Source organism: Homo sapiens, chromosome 2 (assembly GCF_000001405.40).
Source record: "Homo sapiens chromosome 2, GRCh38.p14 Primary Assembly".
Taxonomy (NCBI): domain Eukaryota; kingdom Metazoa; phylum Chordata; class Mammalia; order Primates; family Hominidae; genus Homo; species Homo sapiens.
In genome coordinates, this window is record NC_000002.12 from 199,671,563 (window position 1) to 199,691,567 (window position 20,005).

A 20,005-nucleotide genomic window follows, 5' to 3' on the forward strand; every position below is an offset into this window, starting at 1 on the left:
CAAAATTCCACAGGCAACTAACAAATGCCAGGTTCTTTTCAAAATTGAAGATTCTTTTAGGAGCTCCTAAAATCATGCACTGATCCTCAAAGGTCTACTGTCCCCTGCTAGCTGAGTGGTCCATGTTCTCTTCCAGATTGACTGAGCTGGGACAATATTAGCCCAGCTGCCCTGCCAGCTGGCTTTCCTGGCAATCTTTTGGCCAGGAATTGTTTCTGTCTCACCCAGAGTACCTAAAGACCTGAGCACCATATATATCTTAAGAGGAACATAGACTTCTCTTCCTGTCAGATCAAAGAACACAGTTCTTATAACAAAACTCAAAGCTCTAAAAATAAGAAATTCCTTCTTTTTAAGTTTTATTGTATCTGTTTATAATTGTTCCTGCTTCAGAACCTCAGATCTTAACATGGGGTGGGATCACAGTGTCATCGTCCAGATTCAGACTCTCCCACGTTCTCGGTCACAGAAAAGATGATATGCTATCTTCCTTTAAGAGTTACATGTTTTTTGCCCTGGAAGACTACACTCTGTTTGTACTGGGGATACCAGTGTGTGCCAATCACCTGCTGATTGACTTCCATAGCTACCTGGTACCCTTGCTCCTTCTCTATCCGTCTTCCTCCCAGGCAGCCCTAAATGTATTACATTCTTGGTAGCTCTGAAAGGCTGCAAGTTCTGAAGTTTCATATTCATAACTCTCAAACTGACATGAGAGGGTCTTTGCTTTAGCTAATCAGGGATATACACAAAAAAATGGGAATAAAATTTAGAAGCATATAAATAGATTTACTACATGTAAGTTTTAACATGTTTTGAAAAGCATGATGCACTTAAATAGATGAATTTGGCTGATTTTAGAGATGATAATTTAGTGAGAGTGTATATCTATGGCTGTATAGCAAATCACCCCAAAACTTAGCGGTGTAAAATAATAAAAATCATTTATTATCTTTTAGATTTCTGTGGCTCAGGAATTTGGGAGCAGGGTAGCTGGGTGGTTTGGGGTCTAATGAGGTTACAGGAAGACAGTGGCTGGGATTGAGGTCATCTTGAAGACTTCTTCACTCACATACCTGACACCTGGTGCTCTGGCTGGAAAGATTCAGACAGCTGGCAACTGGAATAACTGGACCTTCTCTAAGTGGTCTCTCTGCTTGTTCTCTGCATCAGGGCAGCTCTAGGATATCTGGACTTCTAACATAGCAGCCTGAGCCCCAAAAGGCACATCTCCTAAGAGATAGAGTCAGGCAGAAGCTGCATCTCTGCTCCTAACCCAGCCTCAGAACTGTTAGGAGGTTGCCCCCCACCCTCTTCTGTTTGGTAGAATTGAGTCACTAAACCTGACCCATGTTCAAAGGAAGGGTAATTAGACTCAATCTTTTATTGCAGGAGTATCAAAGAATTTGCAGATTCTTTTTAGACAATCACAGAGAAAGTCAGGGAGACGTGAGTGTCAACTGCAAATGAAAGTCACAAAATTGGCTGGGCACAGTGGCTCACACCTGTAATCCCAGCCCTTCGGGAGGCCGAGGTGGGAAGATCACTTGAGGCCAGGAGTTTGAGATCAGCCTGGTCAACATGGTGAAACCCCGTCTCTACTAAAAATACAAAAATTATCTGGGTGTGGTGGCATGTGCCTGTAATCCCAGCTACTTGGGAGCCTGAGGCAGGAGAATTGCTTAGACCTGGGAGGTGGAGGTTGCAATGAGCTGAGATCACTCCATTGCACTCCAGCTTGGTTGATAGAGCAAGACTCTGTCTCAAAAAAAAAAAAAAAAAAAAAAAGTCACAAAGAATAAAAGCTAAAAGTAGTTTCCATTGACATTTCCTTAAAATTAATCATGAATAAGATTCAGACCTTCCAAATCTTCTCAATATAATTTCTACTCTTATTTAGCTTCTAATTTTTGCTACATAATTTTTTCGTGATGACATCATTTTTTGTTTTAATTTAATTGGCAAATTTTGTTTTGCACCTACTATATGCTAGGCATGTACTAAAACAATTGGAATACAGAAACAAACTCATACAGTCCATGCGTTCACAGGAAATTCACAGTTGAATTTATAATTCCATGTGACAACTGCAAAATTAGATGCATAAACAAGACATTGAGATGAAATAGATATAAGAAAGAAAAATAACCTGATAAAATCATATCATAGAGTGTCATTCTTTTTTCAGACTTGCAAAATGAGACTTTTGATTATGTCTAATTTAAATGTGCCATAAACCATATTGTTAATATTAATATGGAAAGTATTCCTTAATATAGTCCTTCAGGGTTAAAGTCAGACAAAGATTTTCCAAGTTAAAACACAAAAACATAAGCTTAGGATCCCAGTGTAGAAATAAATTACTGAGATGTCATTTGATTCACCCCCATGCATCCAGGTAGATTTCTCAGCCCAGCCCAAGTCTATGGAAATGTATCTGCTATTTTCAAGATAGTGCTAATAGAAACGGCTCTTACATTTTATATGGTGAAAGATATTTACTATGCTGCAGGAAGTCCCGATGTACCATCAGGTATGAAAACCCTAAGAGGGAGCAGGTGTCAGAGCAGGAGGTCACAGGGCAGCCACTGAAGGAAAGCTGCATTCTGAGGCTGGAAGAAGGAAGAATGTCACTGAGTAGACAAAATAATGGTCATCAGGGAATTGGTAAAGTAAAGAGGAAAAGAAGAATCAAGACAGTACAATGCCATGACAGCTCAAGTGAGAAGACTTTTCATAAGGAGAGGGGAGACAACCCCATGAATGAGCCATGTAGGTCAAGAAGAATGAAGGCTGAGATCAGTGCTGCAGAAATCACAGGTAGCACAAGGTGGGTACTGGTGAACTTCACATAGCAGTTTCTGTTGAATAATAGTGAAGCAGCTCAGATCCTCCTGGATTACCCAGCACACTATTTCCAAATAAGTAGCCCTACAATATTATCTGGATTGCATCACTCTTCAATGCAATTTAACAACTATGCATTTCAGTATTTTCTGTGTTTCTGGCCACTTTCAGTGGCTCCATACTCCCAACCAGAGATTAGATTCCTTAGCCCAGTATGCATTGCTTTCCAGTATCATTTAGCCTGTCTTAGCAACTATGTCCTCATATGCACACTTTATTTTGTCAAAATGTAATTAGGCCAATAAAAAAACCTTTTCTACAAATTTATTTACAAAGACATATCTAAGTTTTTATTTCTCATGCTGCCGGGGAAGAAATCCAATGAGGCTAATTCAAAGATTCACTTTTAGTAGGGAGGTATTATGGAAAAGGAGAATATTTAGATAAAAATTTTAGACAAAATTCAGAAAAATAATCTGTCTGGTTAAAGAACATCAATAGAGGAGGTAAGGAGCTGACTTCCCAGAAAAGCTTTTAATTGCATTAAAGTTTCTCAGAAAATTGCTTAAGCATGTATCAGGAATGCTAATTTCATTGCAGAAGAAAGTTGGTTGTGAAGTGTCTCACACACAAAGAGTTTTATTCCAGACCAAATTTGGAACAATTTTCCATCTATTGACCCCTTTTTGTCGACATTTCGTGCTTTCTCAATGTCATCAGAAGGTACTTTGTGTCTGCATGATCATCCCTATCTACCAGTTTCTTCCACATTCCCTCCTCCTGATAATATTCTCTTCTCTTCTACAGTTCCTTTATTGTCCCACTCTTGCTTTTAATTGTTGTAGTTTGTGTCTACATCTCCTATTTTAACTATAAGTAATCACTATCTTTTCCTCTCTGTATATGCATTAGTGTTCAATAAAGGTTGGAATAAGTGTATATAATTAAATCATAGTATATAAGATATTATGATGCAATATTCAATATGCTGTACTTTTAAAATATTTCACAATTAAAATTAATAAATTTAATTTAATCTTGTTAATAAATTAATTAAAATTAATAACTACATTAGCCATATAAGATTCAGTAGTGAACAACAGAAAACTCAAAATTACAGTGCTTTAACAAAATAGAAATTGATTTTTTTTTCTCTCATAAAGGCAATCTGGAGCTCAGCAGTCCGGAGCTGGTATAATGACTCCATCGTCCTTCTGTCTTGGTCCTTTTGAGTGTGGCTCCATCATCCTCAGTGAGTGGCTTCTTCCTCACGGTTCAAGATAGATGTCTGATGTTTAGTCTTATTCCTGCCAGCAGGAAGGAAGAGCAGAAGAATGGCATACCCACCCCCAACCTCCTGTTTTGAGACAGAGTCTCACTTTATTGTCCATGCTAGAGTATAGTGATCATAGCTCACTGCAGCTTCAACTTCCTGGGCTTGAGGGATCCTCCCACCTTAGCCTCCCAAGTAGCTGTGTCTACAGGAGCACACCACCAAGCCCAGCTAATTTTTGTATTTTTTGTAGAGACAGGGGTCTCACTGTGTTGCCCAGACTTGTGTCCAGTTACTGAGCTCAAGTGATCCTCCTGCCTTAGCATCCCAACGTGCTGGGACTACAGGAATGAGCCACCACAAGTGGCTTCCTTTCCTTTTAAGGACACATCTCAGAAGTTGCATACATCTGATTATATCCCATTAGCTATAACTCAGTCACATATAGCACCCAGTAGTAATAGAAACTGAGGAATGTGCATGGTTTAAAAATCATGGGTTCTGCTACTAAGGAGGAAGAGAGAACAGATATTGAGAGACAACCGGAAGTCTCCATTTCTATGGCCCATTCTAATGTTTGCCAGACCTTGCTGGTCAGTGAATTTCTATTTTCATTTAAATTGGTTTTTCATACTCCAGCATATTTGTTCCTATTGAGTTCTCAATAAATATCAATAGATTCCATTTTTAATGTAGCAAAATATAAGTTCCAAGCTCTGGGAGGTTTCATATATATTATATATAATCAAAAATGTTGGGGGCCATTTTTATATAAAACATAATGGTCTCCAACTTTTTTGATCATGAACCACAATCAATACAGTTTAATCCCCCAGTATATTTACACTTATTTATCAATATGCTTTATAAAATGTACCCCTATATTAATATATTATATATATAACAAAACATGCACAAAAAATAAAATTGATGAGATAAGAAGTAAAAATCAAAGTTCAAATATTTTCTTCCTTCACACCAGTTGATGTTCTTAAGCAAATGCTGATCTAAGAGATGGTGGATATCCTGACTTATGTTCTTTAGTGATCACATATATCATTATTGCAATTGAGAATTCAACCAAAACCTAACAAAGAAGGCTAGGACAAAATGCTAACAATATAAGTTGTTATGTTGTTATGTCCCACATGGAAAAGAAATAATGATTGTTGCAACTCCCACATTTTGGGTCCGACAAACAAAATTAAGCGTCTCGACAAAATGTCTGCATTGAAAAACCCATTTGGGTTTTTTCACAACATACTTGACTTTGCTAAAGAGTTCAATATCTTCTTGTTTATGAAGCTTTAATTTTACTACTATTGGGTTACGCAGATGGAATAAACAAGGAACACCGCTGCTCTGCTCATTGTGGTCATGAGTTACAGGGCCCTGGAGAAGCGTGTTGAGGTACTACGGAGTCTTGATTTCAATGTGCCATGTGTGTACTATGTGTGCTTCTATATAACATGTATGTAGACTTGGAAGCTTTTCAAACGAAGCTATAGCTGGACTAGTCATGTTACATTTCCCTAAGGCCAAAACCTAAAATTGACAGCTTTCACTTTGTGTTACAGAATAAAACCAAGCAATCAGGACTAGGCAGACCCCTGCCACACAGCTACTTGCTGATATCAATTACTTAGCCTAATTATCTTGACAAAGTATACTATTCATTTAAATCTTTCATTTTCTGAGACCATAATAACAACAGGGACTACAGAAAAAAGTGATCATGCCATCTAGGAATAACTAATATATAAGATGTTGAGTTTTGGTCAGAGTCCAGCATATATCCAAGGCCTTAAGACTAAGAAGATTTGAAAAGTAGTTTAGAGGAAGTTGAAAATATAGCTTTATGAAGAGAGAGCATTGCCTAAGAGAGATGGTGGGCTCTAAAAATGAAATTCTGACCATGTTATGATAAATAAATGTGGAAATAAGGACATGAGTAAGACTGCCCAGAAATCCTCTGATGAGTTTAGATTTTGAAAGAATACATATATAAAGCAAGGAAGGTCATATAACCAAGGTCACAAATTGTGAAATGTCTAAGAAAATTGTCAGAATCGTTAATGTGCTCATAAGCCAAAGCTTACAACAGTGACAAAAGCAATAAAACCAATCGTTTCAACTCTGTTTATATCACTGATGTGAACAAGAAAGTAAAATGTACAATACTGGAGATGACAGTACAATGCTAATAGATGAGAGAAACAGTTCCATTGAGGAAAATTATTTTCAAAACTTAAACGTCAAGTATGGGTTAAAGGGGACACAAATTTCTAGAAAAGGGAGGGCTGCTTAAATGAATCCTACCCTCATTTCCAGAGGAATCTAAAGGAACTCCTAGGCATGATTGTGAGGTAACCATTGAATCGAGGACAAACAGAAATATGTCGAAAGACAAACAAAACAGAGTCGCTTTGGGTTTACAAAAGGTTGGAGATTGGGGGTTTGGAAGCAAATTCTAGAAACAGTAAATAAATAAGTAGACATGATGTTATTATATTGCAAAATTCCAGAGAGGACAATAAAAGAGGTGGCTTGTGGACCTCACAAAACAAAATGATGATCAGTAGGATCTAGTGAGTATTCATAATGAAAGTCCATTCCAAATGGGCTTTCAGTAAAATAGATAGATTATCTTTTTAGTAAGGTAAATAGATGAGCAGATGTGGGCACATGCCATAACCATGGCACAGAAGAACTGTAAGATAGCCCCCTTAGAAACTTGAAATGCAGTTGTTAAAGGTATGCCATGCAGGACTTTCTTTCCTTTTTAAAGAATAATTTAATTTTTTATTATATAAGCCATATTTTTTAAGTACGTGGACACAGTATTTCCTTGACTGTAAGATGTAATTTATTGTAAGATAATCTATTAATTTAAATATAGCTTTTTGGGTTGTAAAAAATATTTATATTAAGTGTATGATTTATCCTCATTTTGGAATCACTGAAATATAAAAAAAAACAACCTTAGAATTGAGGAAATACATACACATATACAAGAACACATTTACAGAGTTGAAATCATACATTTTGTTCAGTTGGCATTTTATTGTAGTTCTTGATCCCCATGTCATAAAAAACTCTATAAACATAATTTCTAGTAAATCAGTTACATATTATAACTCATTTAATTACTACTTTATTCTGAAATTTTTTATTGTTTTTCTTATAAAATTGCAATTTACTTTTCAAAAATATTTATCTGCATTTCTGATTATTTCCTTGGGGTACATTTCCAGAAGTGGAATTTTTGAATGAAACAATACATTATGTTTTAAAGATTCTTGATACACACAGTACCAAACTACTTCTCAGAAAGCTTGTACCAATTCACACTGCCGCTAGCACTTGTTTGAATGAGGACCCATCTTACCGGCATTCAAAATGTTCTTTCCTTTTCAAATTCTTTGTTGATTTAGCAGGGGGAGAAAAATCTAATTTTAATTTGGTTTGAATTTCATTAACTACATATTTAATATTGAATATTTTTATATGAACATTATTGTTTATGGTTCTTCTGTGAATTGTCTGTTCTTCCCTTTTATTCATTTTTCTAATGATAATTTATTTTCCTTATCCATTGTTATGTCATCTTTATAATATAAAAGACAGTAACCATTTCTGCTTTATTTGTGGCAATTTTGGGGTTTTTAAAAATTAAACTTTTGTTATTTTGTTTTAATTCTGTCTGCCCTCTTATTTATCTTTTATTAAAAACTCATCCTAAGGAGTATATGCCTCTTCATTGGAAAGTTTACAAAATTTACTTCAATTCTTATATCTGATATTTGACCTTACCACTAGCATTTTGCTTTTTTCCTCGTTTTTGGGTAATGTCTTGCTGTTTATTTTGTGGGTGCCTGTGTTTTTCTCTATGATTGGTGTTTTGATTGCTTTTATCTCCCATGGTGATTTGGAACATAGACATCTTTTTTTTTATTTTATTTTTTGGTGGTTGCTGCTAAGTTTTTCAAATCATACGTGAACCTACATTTCATAAAATATCAAAATCATGGATGAAACAAAACCTTTGATTTTCATTGTGTGAGATTAGGAATTTGGTATGTTTTCATTCCCCTATCCTTTCCTGCATTTGATATGTGGTCTTCATTGACATCATCTGGGATTTCAATCTAGATCATTACTACTAAATTATTACTTTTCTATTTATAACTTTTAGAGTAATTTGACATTAACTTTCAAAGAAATTATTTATTTTATATATGCATTCAGCTTTGTATGAATGTAACACCAATTATTTTAATTTAAATATATGTTAGTGTGGTTTTGTTGCTCACAGTCACTAGCAGTCCTTTTATATTAGAGCTTTTCTTTCCTGGGTCCTTGAGTTTTTAATGTGATTCTCAGGCAGCTAGATTGTAAAAAGGCCAGAACAATAGATGGACCAGATGACATTTAACAATGAAGCTGGAAAAGTAATGCGCTTAGGTTAAAAGATTAAATAAATACAGGTTGGAGGAGTCTGTTGGCAATAATTGTAATGAAAATGACCAGGAGATTGGAGTTTGTAACCTCAATATAAGCAAACCATTGTAATGTGATAGTTTAAAAAGCAAATGCAAATACGGTGGTCATGTTAAAAAGCACAAATCATAGAAGAAATGATAACAATTCCACTTGAGTAGGCACAAGCCATGGAATCTTTGGCTAGAATGTTCAAGTCAGTTTGAGCATCTCAACATTTAAAAACTAGCAAACATCAAAAAGGGCAACTAAGACAGAGAAGACTCTGAAAATCATATCATATACATTTTGACTGAGGGAACTGGGGGCTTGAAACCAGGAAAAAATTAGATTTAGGAGCTCTGACAGTATTTGTGTATTTGAAGAGCTATCACAGAGAATAAATTTAGACTCATTGCTCCTGGAGGCAGATGTAGGGGGATAAATAAAGTTTCAGAGTAAAAGACTGTGATGCAACAGGAGGAAATTTGTCATAGTTAGAGCAGTCCAAGATTGCCATGGGCCGCATCAGACACTCGCATGGTTTCCATCCTCAGAGAGTAGATGGTATCTTTTGAAGATGACGCATAGCCTATATGATATTGGCAAATAAATGGTTAATTAGAAATGTGTTTGGGACAAATATACTACTGTGTGTGATTTCCTAGACTTCTCCTTGCTACACAATGTTCCCCCTTGCCGCCACCCCTAATACCTCTAGTAAAGAGTATCTTGTTCTCACCTGCTCACTCTCTTTCCTACTTCATCTTTGAGGAGAGTTCTGCTTTTGCTGGGCAGGGTTCTGGCTTCTTATATAGAGGTACAAGATCTGGAGAAGTGGAAGAAAAGTGGGAAATGCTCTCACTTGCTGGCTTAGCGTCCAGAATTGCTTTGTTATTGAGAATACAGGGAAAATGCGAATAGTATTATTTAAAGGGTTACTTGATAAGTTTAAAAAGTTAAAAGGATGGCATGGTGTGGGAAAAGAGAGATAGAAAAGCCAGGCTTTCAGCCAGGCGTGGTGGCTCACACCTGTAATCCCAGCATTTTGGGAGGCTGAGGCAGGTGGATCACCTGAGGTCAGGAGTTCGAGACCAGCCTGGCCAACATTGTGAAACCCCATCTCTACTAATAATACAAAAAAATTACCCGGGTGTGGTGGCACACGCCTGTAATCCCAGCTACTCGGGAGGCTGAGGCAGGAGAATTGCTTGAACCCGGGAGGCGGAGGTTGCAGTGAGCCAAGATTGCGCCATTGCACTCCAGCCTGGGCAACAAGAGTGAAACCCCATCTCCAAAAGAAAGAAAAGCCAGGCTTTCTGTCTGAATGTTTGCAGGCTTTGGAGGGTTGGGAGTCTCTGAAGCCTCTGCATAATATGGAAGAGCAAGAGAGACAAGAAAAGGGGATGAGAGCAAGTTCAGAAACAAAGTCAGTCTATTGTCCTGAAATAAAGAAGTATGCTCCCTGCAGTATGTTTCTCCCGTCGGAGAAACAAAAGAGGATCATGAGAACCTAGAAGAGTCTCCGGATATATTTCCATGGGCAAAAGTCACAAGACTCTTAGTGATGAGGAATCAGAATTTTACATCAGGTCTCTTTTCCCACTTTAAATAACATACAAATTGTTATATATACGGGTGCTAATATTAATCATGTAGCGTCGTCATTCCAAAGTGTGGATTCACTCCTTCTCTATTAACCATTCTCTGCTTTCATAAAGTCTAACTATGGACTGCTCCAAGGAGTGTGTGTGTGTGTGTGTGTGTGTGTTACTTTCCTATTACAATCAAAATTTGGTTGCCCAAAGAGGACAGAAAGGGAAAAGCAACACTCTTTCCAAATGCTGTCTCATTTTTTTGTTGTTGTTGGGTGTTGTGATGGTTAATTTTATGTGTCAATTTTGCTGGGCCACATTACCCAGAAATGTGGCCAAACACTATTCTGGATGTTTCTGTGAGGTTATTTTTAGATGAGATTAACATGTACATCAGTGGACTTAGAGCAAAGCAGATTGCCTCCATAATGTGGGTGGGCCTCATCCAACCAGTTGAAGGGCTGATAGAACAGCAGACTATACTCCTTGAGCAGGAGAGAATGCTGCCAGCAGGTGGCCTTTGGACCTGAACTGCAATGTTGGCTCTTCTCTGGGTCTCCGGCCTGCCCACCCAGCCTGCAGGTTTTGGACTTTACAGCTGCCACAATCATGTCAGCCAATTCCTTAAATTAAATCTCTTTCTATGTTTATATACATCCTACCAGTTTTGTTTCTCTGGAGAACCCTGACTAATACAACTGTACTATATATTGTGGGAATAAAAAGACAGCCTGCATTTGAAAGGAAATCAGGCTATATGAACCCAAAAATATGACCCCACTCTCATATTTTACATACTGTTCTATCAGTCTCCAGATTCCACACAGAACCATAATATATTGTTTAACATACACAGTGTTTGTATGAGCAGGGTTGTAACTCACCAGAACTTTCAAAATATCTTAATCTCTTCAGAAATTTTGCAATTAGCAACAATATGCAGGAAGGTATTGTTTAATTGAGTGATGATAATAAAGACATATGTATTAAGTGCATTAGCAAAGAGTATGAATAAATGGATACAGAAAAATGTTTGGTAACATATAATAGATTTCTCATTATCCTGTGCAGATCTTTCATTAAGGGAATATCCACCTAAAATGGATTATTCATCATCGAATGATTAACAGTGAGAATTCTTCTGTAGGAAATATTTTGGAAGTTCTTTTTAGAACATAGAGAAGATGATCTGTCCCCAAGAATTCATATTCAAGACAGATTACTCAATGAATGTCATCATTTGGAGACCCCATTCTATAATTGTGAGGAGAGAACACAGTTTTTCAAAGACTGAAGTCCCTTTCTTCTCTTTCCCACTGTACAACTCCATTCAGGTCTAAAGTTTTGCACCCAAAATTGAATGAGCTTTTAAGCCTTAGATATGATGCATCATCATCTTTTACAAGAAGAATGATCTTCCAGTTTCTTCCAAATTAAATCAGCAATAGCGAGCCATTCCATGAAAAACCCAATTATATTATATAAATTGGGATTAATATATTAAAACGGAGTTTGTATTTGAATGAAATTGCCAAAATAAAGAGCAGAGAGGACAAATGACTATTATAAGCCATGATGCATATGAAAGGACCTACACTTACTGCTTACACATGCTACAAAGTGAATTAATGTTGAAGTTCTTTCTTGCTACTCAGTATTCATATTTCCAAGTAAATCCAATTTCAAATCCAGTGTACCATGTAGAGGCACATTAAAATTTAAATTCCCTACAACTTTAATAGGCTTATTTTTAACACTACCAGTGATAATCCCAGCTGACTGAGATTTCCATATAGGTGGGAAGTTGGCTAAGTGGCCTACGAGATCTCTGCCAAATCTGATATTCTTGAGCTTTCTTCTAGGAGCCCATAGTTGACTGCTGTAAAGATGGAGCAGCCCGTGCACATTCCTGACAGTATTTTCTTTTGATCCTAAATGTATTTTGCATTTACGAACTCATAAGATAATACCTGCGATGAGGCATTCAGGTGTTACCTTATGGGTTTGTGAATGCAAAATACCTTTAATTCCCTGTGGAAATCCTAATCCTACATCTTCTGTCCTAAAGCTCACCTTGTCTATGTCAGTTTAGCTAAAGGTATGTGGCAGCCAGCAAAGTCATGATGTTTGAAAACCAGGAGAATTAAGACATGCTCAGTTTGTGCATTCATTAATCGGCTGTCTGTTCTCTCTTGTAGGTGCCCAGAGGGCAAGGTCTGGGCCCACTTTAATTGTGGGTGCAATCCATAATATAGAGCCAGTGGCCTATGTGTGCTTAACAAATACCATCAGGTAATTAGGATGATGATGGGTAACTGTCTGTTGTTACCACTTGCCAAAGAATTAAACTACATTTACACTTTCAGTAATTATCTCCATGCCAAATTGTTCCCATGTGAACCCAAACGTTGCAATTTTAGATGGATTCACACTATAGCAGCAATTACTTAATTATTGTACTGTGAGAAGCACCCAGTTTTCAAAAGAAACAACTTTCACAACTCATTAGACAAATCTTCTGTCTGCTGTAGGTATTATTACCCAAGTAAGTTGAGGATGGAGCTGGGAGTGGAATTCAAAAATTTTTACTGAAGACAGATGGCGCTATAAATACCCTACTTTCCAGAGTCATGGCACTTAAATTCCACTTTCTTTTAAATAAAGCAGTTAGATTGCTAATTTACCCCCAAGTATGTAAATAAATTATACACACACATGTATTACATCAATAACATTTTGGACTGAATTCTGTGCAATTTCAAAGAAAGGATCTATGGCATTGATTGGGATAAGACATACAACTGTATGGACTCAGGCAATGGGGTGGGCCACAGAAAACCCTACTTACTTCTCTTCACTTAATACTGGCCGTCTCCAAATCCCCTGGATCAATTACACACAACATTGCATAAGAACGTTTTTATTAATTCTCAGATTAAGTGTCAAATTAGATGGCAGAGGGGAGTGTGTTACGGAAGGGCCGTTCTCATAGTATATCAAAGTCACCTATAATCTTCAAGGAGCATTTCACTTTTAAGCATGAGGATACATAAAGTCTCTTTCTGGAAATTATAATTCAGTAAGGAATAACTTTTGATAAATGTATATTCTCAAAAAGTGTGGCAAGAAGACAGGTGGCCTAGAAATAGATCTAAACTGTACAGGATGGTTATACATAAACTTCTTCACAAACAGACTAAAGTGTCTGTGGTTTTCTTTTTTCCCTGAGTCTGTAATCTTTTATGATGATCATTTCGTTAAAATTTACCACTTGCTAATTTGCATTTTCTCTGTGGAGCTCGTACTTCCTCCATGTTAATGTAACTTTCCCTTTCTCTGGGCTAATCTTGGTTTGATTGAAACAATGTGGAGTCAAAATGGTGGCCTGAACATAGAAAACCTTTTATTCCAGAATGTGATATAATTGGCTTCAGGAATCTGCAATGGAACCTCTGAGACAAGGGGAAACAGCACCTAAGAGACCTGCAGGCGAAGGAAATACCCAGCCCACATGGATCACCCTTCTTGTGCCTTTGGCAAGAATATGACCCAGTGACAGGATTTTGGAAATAGAGCCTTAGAGTGGGCCTTAGAGTGGATAAAAGTGCCTTTACCAAAATACTGCACTACCTCCAGAGCCACCTAAGACCCTCCTCTCTACACGCATCCTCTTTCCATCTTTACTTCGGACCCCATGTTCATTTAACTGCACAGTTTTGTTTTTGTTTTTTTTCTAAACCAAGAGCCTCCCAGAATTGATAGGTAGCTCCATTCTTACTGTGTGACTGATCACGGTTAGAGTCTTGCTGTAACTGCAATGTGTTTTTATATGCAAATATAAGAAGAAAAATTAAGGAAGTTCTCTAAGTTACCCAGACAAGTTGCAATCAATTCAAATCCATTAATAAGAGTTTTTAAAATCCTATGTTCCTAATCCAACACTATGGGAACACAGAACCTGGTTTATAAATCCAGGAGTTTTAAATAAACCAGGTGAAGAATATAACCCCACAAATGTGAAAGTGACAACAAAACAACTTACATTAGAATATGGTGTCACAGAAGTTCAGAGAAAGGAGATCTACTACATGAGAGATCAAACCAATTGAAGAAACCACAGACTCCTTTTAACCTGATGTGTTCCTAGAAAGCCTTAGACTTCTGTTTACTTCATGTGTGAGAAATCTCTGACCTAGTCTGGAACATGAATAGTTACAGAACATAAATTCTACATTTTATTATTGAGAAATGAGTATACTCTTTGGGAAAATTTCATTTAATAACTGGAATCTAATGTGGGGCATGGAGGAATAGCTGGGAAAGTATTCCAAACTTACTTCAGACCCCAGAATGAAGCCAGTGGGCTATCTCCGCTGTTCAGCGTGGGTGTGAACAGAGATATGATCATAGTGGTAAAAACCAATTGGTTTTCTAAAAAGAAACCTTTGGTAGTCACATTTATTTTTGTTATGCACTATGATTAAAATGATACTTACACCACTACATAGTTTAAATTATTTCCTGGAGTGCAGTTGGGCTTTGGAACTTAGTGATCTCAATTTTAAACTAACTCTTGGGGGTGGGAAGGAATTGGCACTTCATAGTGAAGCATTTCATCACCTAAACTCCCTTGCCCAAAAATAACTCTTTATATTTTAGATATAAAAATTCCATTACTTTAGCCTGAGATTGAGTTTCATCATTCCATAGGTTCAGTTAACACACTCCAAATGAAAGAATCCAAACAGACATTTGATAAGCTATCTACCATGTATCAAATTCATGCCAGTTGATTAGAAGAATATATTATGAAATGATTGACAGTTCTTTGAAAATAACAATTTATTACCTGTCACACTGCTAAAGTATGCTTTTGATATACAGAAGTGAAATAATATTGAAATAAAACTAACTCTAAGCTGAAACAGGAGTTACAGTATTCCAAATAGATCCCAGATGACTATGAAAAACATATTTGTCTGGGTAATAATTAAATAAGCGATAGATGGTTATTACATAGATAACAAATTTCAATGCAATATACTATGCAAGTGCTCCTATCCTATTAACATAAAAACAACACTGAGCTCAGCAACTCAAATGGAATAGATATTTGGAATTCTAAATTTGGAGAGCAATATATGGCAAAAGTTTGGTAATTAGTATTAAGAATCTGACTTATTTCCTGTGAAGTCAGTGGATTTACCTCTAAGTTTTAGGCCCATCCATTACAGGAAATTTGTTATAATTGGTTCACTTTGGGTTAAATGGTTGATATTTTTAGCCTCTAAAACCTGTTATTTTGTAGCTGAGGTTTATCCTACTTTCCTGTGTCTTCACAAACTTTCCATTTTAAATTACAGAACCTCCATGCTAATTATAAACTTTTATCTTTAAAAGTGGTGCTGCCTTTTAATCATTTGCTGTAGTTGGAGTTTTTTTTCTAAAACCTTAAAGAAGATGGCACTGTTCTTAATTTTGATCAGGGAAGTTTGTAGAATATAGCAAAAGTTCAAGGTCTTATTAATACTCTGGTAAGCCTTGGTCAAAGGCAGAATTTAATGCACAGCTAAATGTTTAGACATGAGAACCTACACTTGCAACATACCAATGTTTCTCTACAGTAGCAAAGGAAATGAAAGTTCCGATTTTGAACTTACCATGGAACATATTGAGTGCTATCTCTCCCTGTATTAAAATTAGTCACAGTCAGGTTGGCTCTGGCAATGAATAAAGCTATGGTCAGCTCACAGGTGAGCCAGTTAATGTTATTCTTTTTGCCTCTTTGGTCATTGGCTGTGCTCTGAACTTGAAAGTCTTTGCACCTGGAGGTAGAAGTTGTAAGTGCAAACCCATCACTGGGAGGGGGCCAAACTGCTAAATATATATGGCCCAGGGATAGTTTTTCAGTAACCTTAACTCTGAGTGATTAAAAAAACACAGAAATGGGACTGACCATGGGAAATTACATTAACTCTGGTCATTAAAGTACCAGTAAGCATAAATAAGAATAATAGTAACAACTATAATTTAGTTAATGCTTCTTAGAACCAGACATTGTCTATGTACTTCCTCCTTCTTTGTAATATATGTGTTTTTATCTCCATTTTACAGATGAGAAAACTGAGGCTCAAAGACTTTATATCACTTGCCCAGTGTTACATAGTAACTAGTAATGGAACCACGATTTAAAGTGAGCATGTCTCTGGGTCGCGTGTGGTGGCTCACGCCTGTAATCCCAGCACTTTGGGAGGCCAAAGTGGGTGGATCACTTGAGGCCAGAAGTTTGAGACCAGCCTGGGCAACATAGCGAAACCCCATCTCTACTAAAAAATACAAAAATTAGCCAGGCATAATCTCAGCTACTCAGGAGGGTAAGGCAGGAGAATCGCTTCAACCTTGGATCAGAGTTTGCAGTGAACCAAGATCATGCCACTGCACTCCAGCCTGGATGACAGAGCAAGACTCTGTCTCAAAAAAAAAAAAAAATTAGAATTAGAAAATAAAAATAAATTAAAAATAAAAAATAAAATGGGTGTGCCTCATCCTAAAGCCCATACTGTAATCCAGGGGCTTTGGGAACTTGATCTGTAAACCAAAAACATCAGAATCACCTAAGAAGCTTCTTAGACCCCAGGAGCCAAGATTTGATTCTGTAAACTTAGGGCAAGTCTAGGAATCTGGTGCCCTTTTTTGTTGTTTTTAAACAACTCCCCAAGTAATTCTGACCCTGATTCAGGCTTGGAAACTACTGCTTGAAGTGGTTCCCCAACCTCACTCACACCGATAATGGTATTATCTGTACAGTTCACAGGGAAAAGTGGACAAGGCTGTTCCCAGGCAGTGGAGACAGGCCTGGAGTCTCTGATCATTCTGGTCTTCCCCTGGCCTTAGGGCTCAACATCCCAGCACATTCCTTGCTTTGAGAAAGATTCAGTTTTTTATTTATAAAACAGGAAGCTTTGGACAGGAAGACCTTTTCTAGCTCTAAAATTCTGTGGACTATCAGAAAAAGTGCATTCCAGACTTGGAGGCAATCTCAGTACAGTTCTGCCTCGGGTTGATAGTGAATTCCTTCATTTAAGGGCATTATGATAAGATGCCTGCTCTAGGCTTTCCTACATCCTCCATTATTTCTATAGCACTTCTTCTGCCCTGCCCAGAAGGGCAGCTACTCAGCTACTCAGGAGGCTAAGGCAGGAGAATCGCTTCAACCTTGGAGGCAGAGTTTGCAGTGAACCAAGATCATGCCACTGCACAATGATGTTTAATGGAGCATTATTTATAATACCAAAACATATGGAAATAATATAAATGTTCAACAATTGTTTCTCAATTGGTATATTTCCATATGATGAAATACTGCATAGTTATTAAAAATCATCTTGCAGAAAAGAATTGATATGACAATGTTCAAAACACCACATAAAGAGAAACTACTCAGTAAATGTTCTCTTATGAATAAAGCAAGGTCATTTTTATGTAGTTACCCTTAATGAAAGAGAATTTTTCTAATGGTTTGGGTCTAGGTATTTGGATCAAGAAAGTTAAAAAGTTGTTGATATGAGGAAGAGGGAATTAGCCAGAATACACATTCCTAACTAAGAGTCCATAATGACGGCCTTGAAAGGAATTGAGTTATTCCCTCTGCATGCTCTTTCTCTCTTAGGTATATCCATGGGTCTTATCACCCAACACAGGAAGCTGGGCATCATCCCAGATGCCTACCTGTTTTTGATCTACCACCTTTAGTGAGTCACCAATTATTCTCCATTGAACTACAGAAACAGCCTTCTCATGTGTCTCCTGGCCCATAACCTCACCCCTGTTCAGTACAATGCTCAGTTTTTTGGGGGGTAATTTGGCAATATGTTATCAAATTCATGATAAATTGCTTCTACTCCCTCAACCAACAATTAGGTTTTTAGGAATATTTGTAAGCTACTCGGGAGGCTGAGGCAGGAGAATCGCTTAAACCCAGGAGGCAGAGATTGCAGTGAGCCAAGATGGCACCACTGTACTCCAGCCTGGGCAACAAGAGAGAAACTCCGTCTAAAAAAAAAAAAAAAAAAAGAATATAATTAGATATGGGCACAAAGATGTATGTGCACAATGATGTTTAATGGAGCATTATTTATAATACCAAAACATATGGAAATAATATAAATGTCCAACAATTGTTTCTCAATTGGTATATTTCCACATGATGAAATACTGCATAGTTATTAAAAATCATCTTGCAGAAAAGAATTGATATGACAATGTTCAAAACACACCTACTGCTAAGTAAAACAGCAGGTTATTGAGTAGCAAGTATGACATGTAACTATTTCTAAATACATATATGTGCATATAGATATTTACATATATCAGACACATAAATAGAAAAGTGATCAGAAGGATCCACATCAAAATGTTAACAGTAGTTTTCTCTGAGTTGTTGGAGCGTAAGTACATTGGGGTTTCCACTGTATGCATCCAGTGTATTTTATCTTATAAAGGAAAGTGTATTATTAAAATACATCCACACAAATCTGATTTTGTAAGTTCCTCAGGAGATCCCCACTACATTAAAATCGAAGTCCTGAACATGACACCTGAGAGTAGAGCTTAGCTTCTGCCTAGCCCCTGCATCCTCAAGGCCTAGGCCCGTTCCATTCACTCCCCTCTATTGTACTCTCAGACCTGCTTCCTCTCTCACCGGCTGTCACTTTGCAATTGCTGAGCCCTCTCCTTGTAATGTCCTCTGCCTTTCTGTGATTAGCAAACTCTATCTGGCCTTTCAAAGACCACCTCAGAGAGGCTACCCTGCCCCATTCCTCAGAGGTGGTCACTAGCTCCTTTGGGCTACCTACAAGTATCTCCATGTTTGCATGCACCCCACTCAACTATAGTTTTAGGTTGACTTTTCTGTTTTTACTCCAATTCCCTAAGAAATTGAGCCCCGAGAAAGCTAGGACCAGGTCTTGATCTCTCCTGCATCAAACACCGAAGCAGGAACATTGTAGAGGCTCAAAAAATATGTGTTGGAATGAAGCAAATGACAGAAATCTAAAGAAGGAATTTCTGTTTCCTATGCATTTTTGAGTTATGCTTCAGGTTCATAGACCACTTTGTCCACTTTTATTTACTCCATGGTCTAAACTTTTGGATCCAATGTAATTTGCATGCCCAAACTACAAGCTTAAGCACTTTGAATAACTAATTTTCATCAATCAGCTTATTAAAAATAGTAAAATGACCCACATATACAAACATAGGCCAAAAGCTAAGAAATAAAAAATAAAGAAGTTATTTCTATGAGTAAAATAGTTTTGAGGCCTAAATAAAAGTGTGGAATTTGCTATAGTGCATTTGTTTTTGGTTAAATATTTTGATAAGAAATAAAGGTGGCCAATTTTTACTTATTTATTTATTTTGATTTTGATTTTTTGAGACAGAGTTTTGCTCTTGTTGGCCAGGCTGGAGTGCAATGGCACGATCTTGGCTCACTGCAACCTCCGCCTCCCGGGTTCAAGTGATTCTCCTGCCTCAGCCTCCCAAGTAGCTGGGATTACAGGCATGCGCCACCACACCCGGCTAATTTTTGTATTTTTAGTAGAGACAGGGTTTCTCCATGTTGGTCAGGCTGGTCTCGAACTACCGACCTCAGGTAATCTGCCCGAAAGGTGGCCAATTTTATCAGCACTAAATAATTACAGTTGACAGAATAGCCACACATTTTAAGATTATGTGTTTCTAGGTAAATATTTTCCTCCTAAATAATGAAAAATCACTTCTAACCATGTCAATATTACAATGGTAAAGTAGG

General features: G+C 37.2%; 1 protein-coding gene across 4 annotated transcripts in view; it reads right to left on the reverse strand.

The window, feature by feature from the left end:
* FTCDNL1 (formiminotransferase cyclodeaminase N-terminal like) overlaps positions 1 to 20,005 on the reverse strand; it is a 187,358-nt gene that overhangs the window by 7,728 nt on the left and 159,625 nt on the right. Inside the window, exon 4 of one of the 4 annotated variants that reach the window (XM_024452868.2) lies at positions 3,175 to 4,154. The exons of the other annotated variants lie outside the window; for them this stretch is intronic. Within the exon in view, the coding sequence (XP_024308636.1) occupies positions 4,123 to 4,154 (32 nt within the window). The 3' untranslated portion in view covers positions 3,175 to 4,122. Of the gene's footprint in view, positions 1 to 3,174; positions 4,155 to 20,005 lie in introns of those variants that run through there. 4 annotated transcript variants of the gene reach the window in all.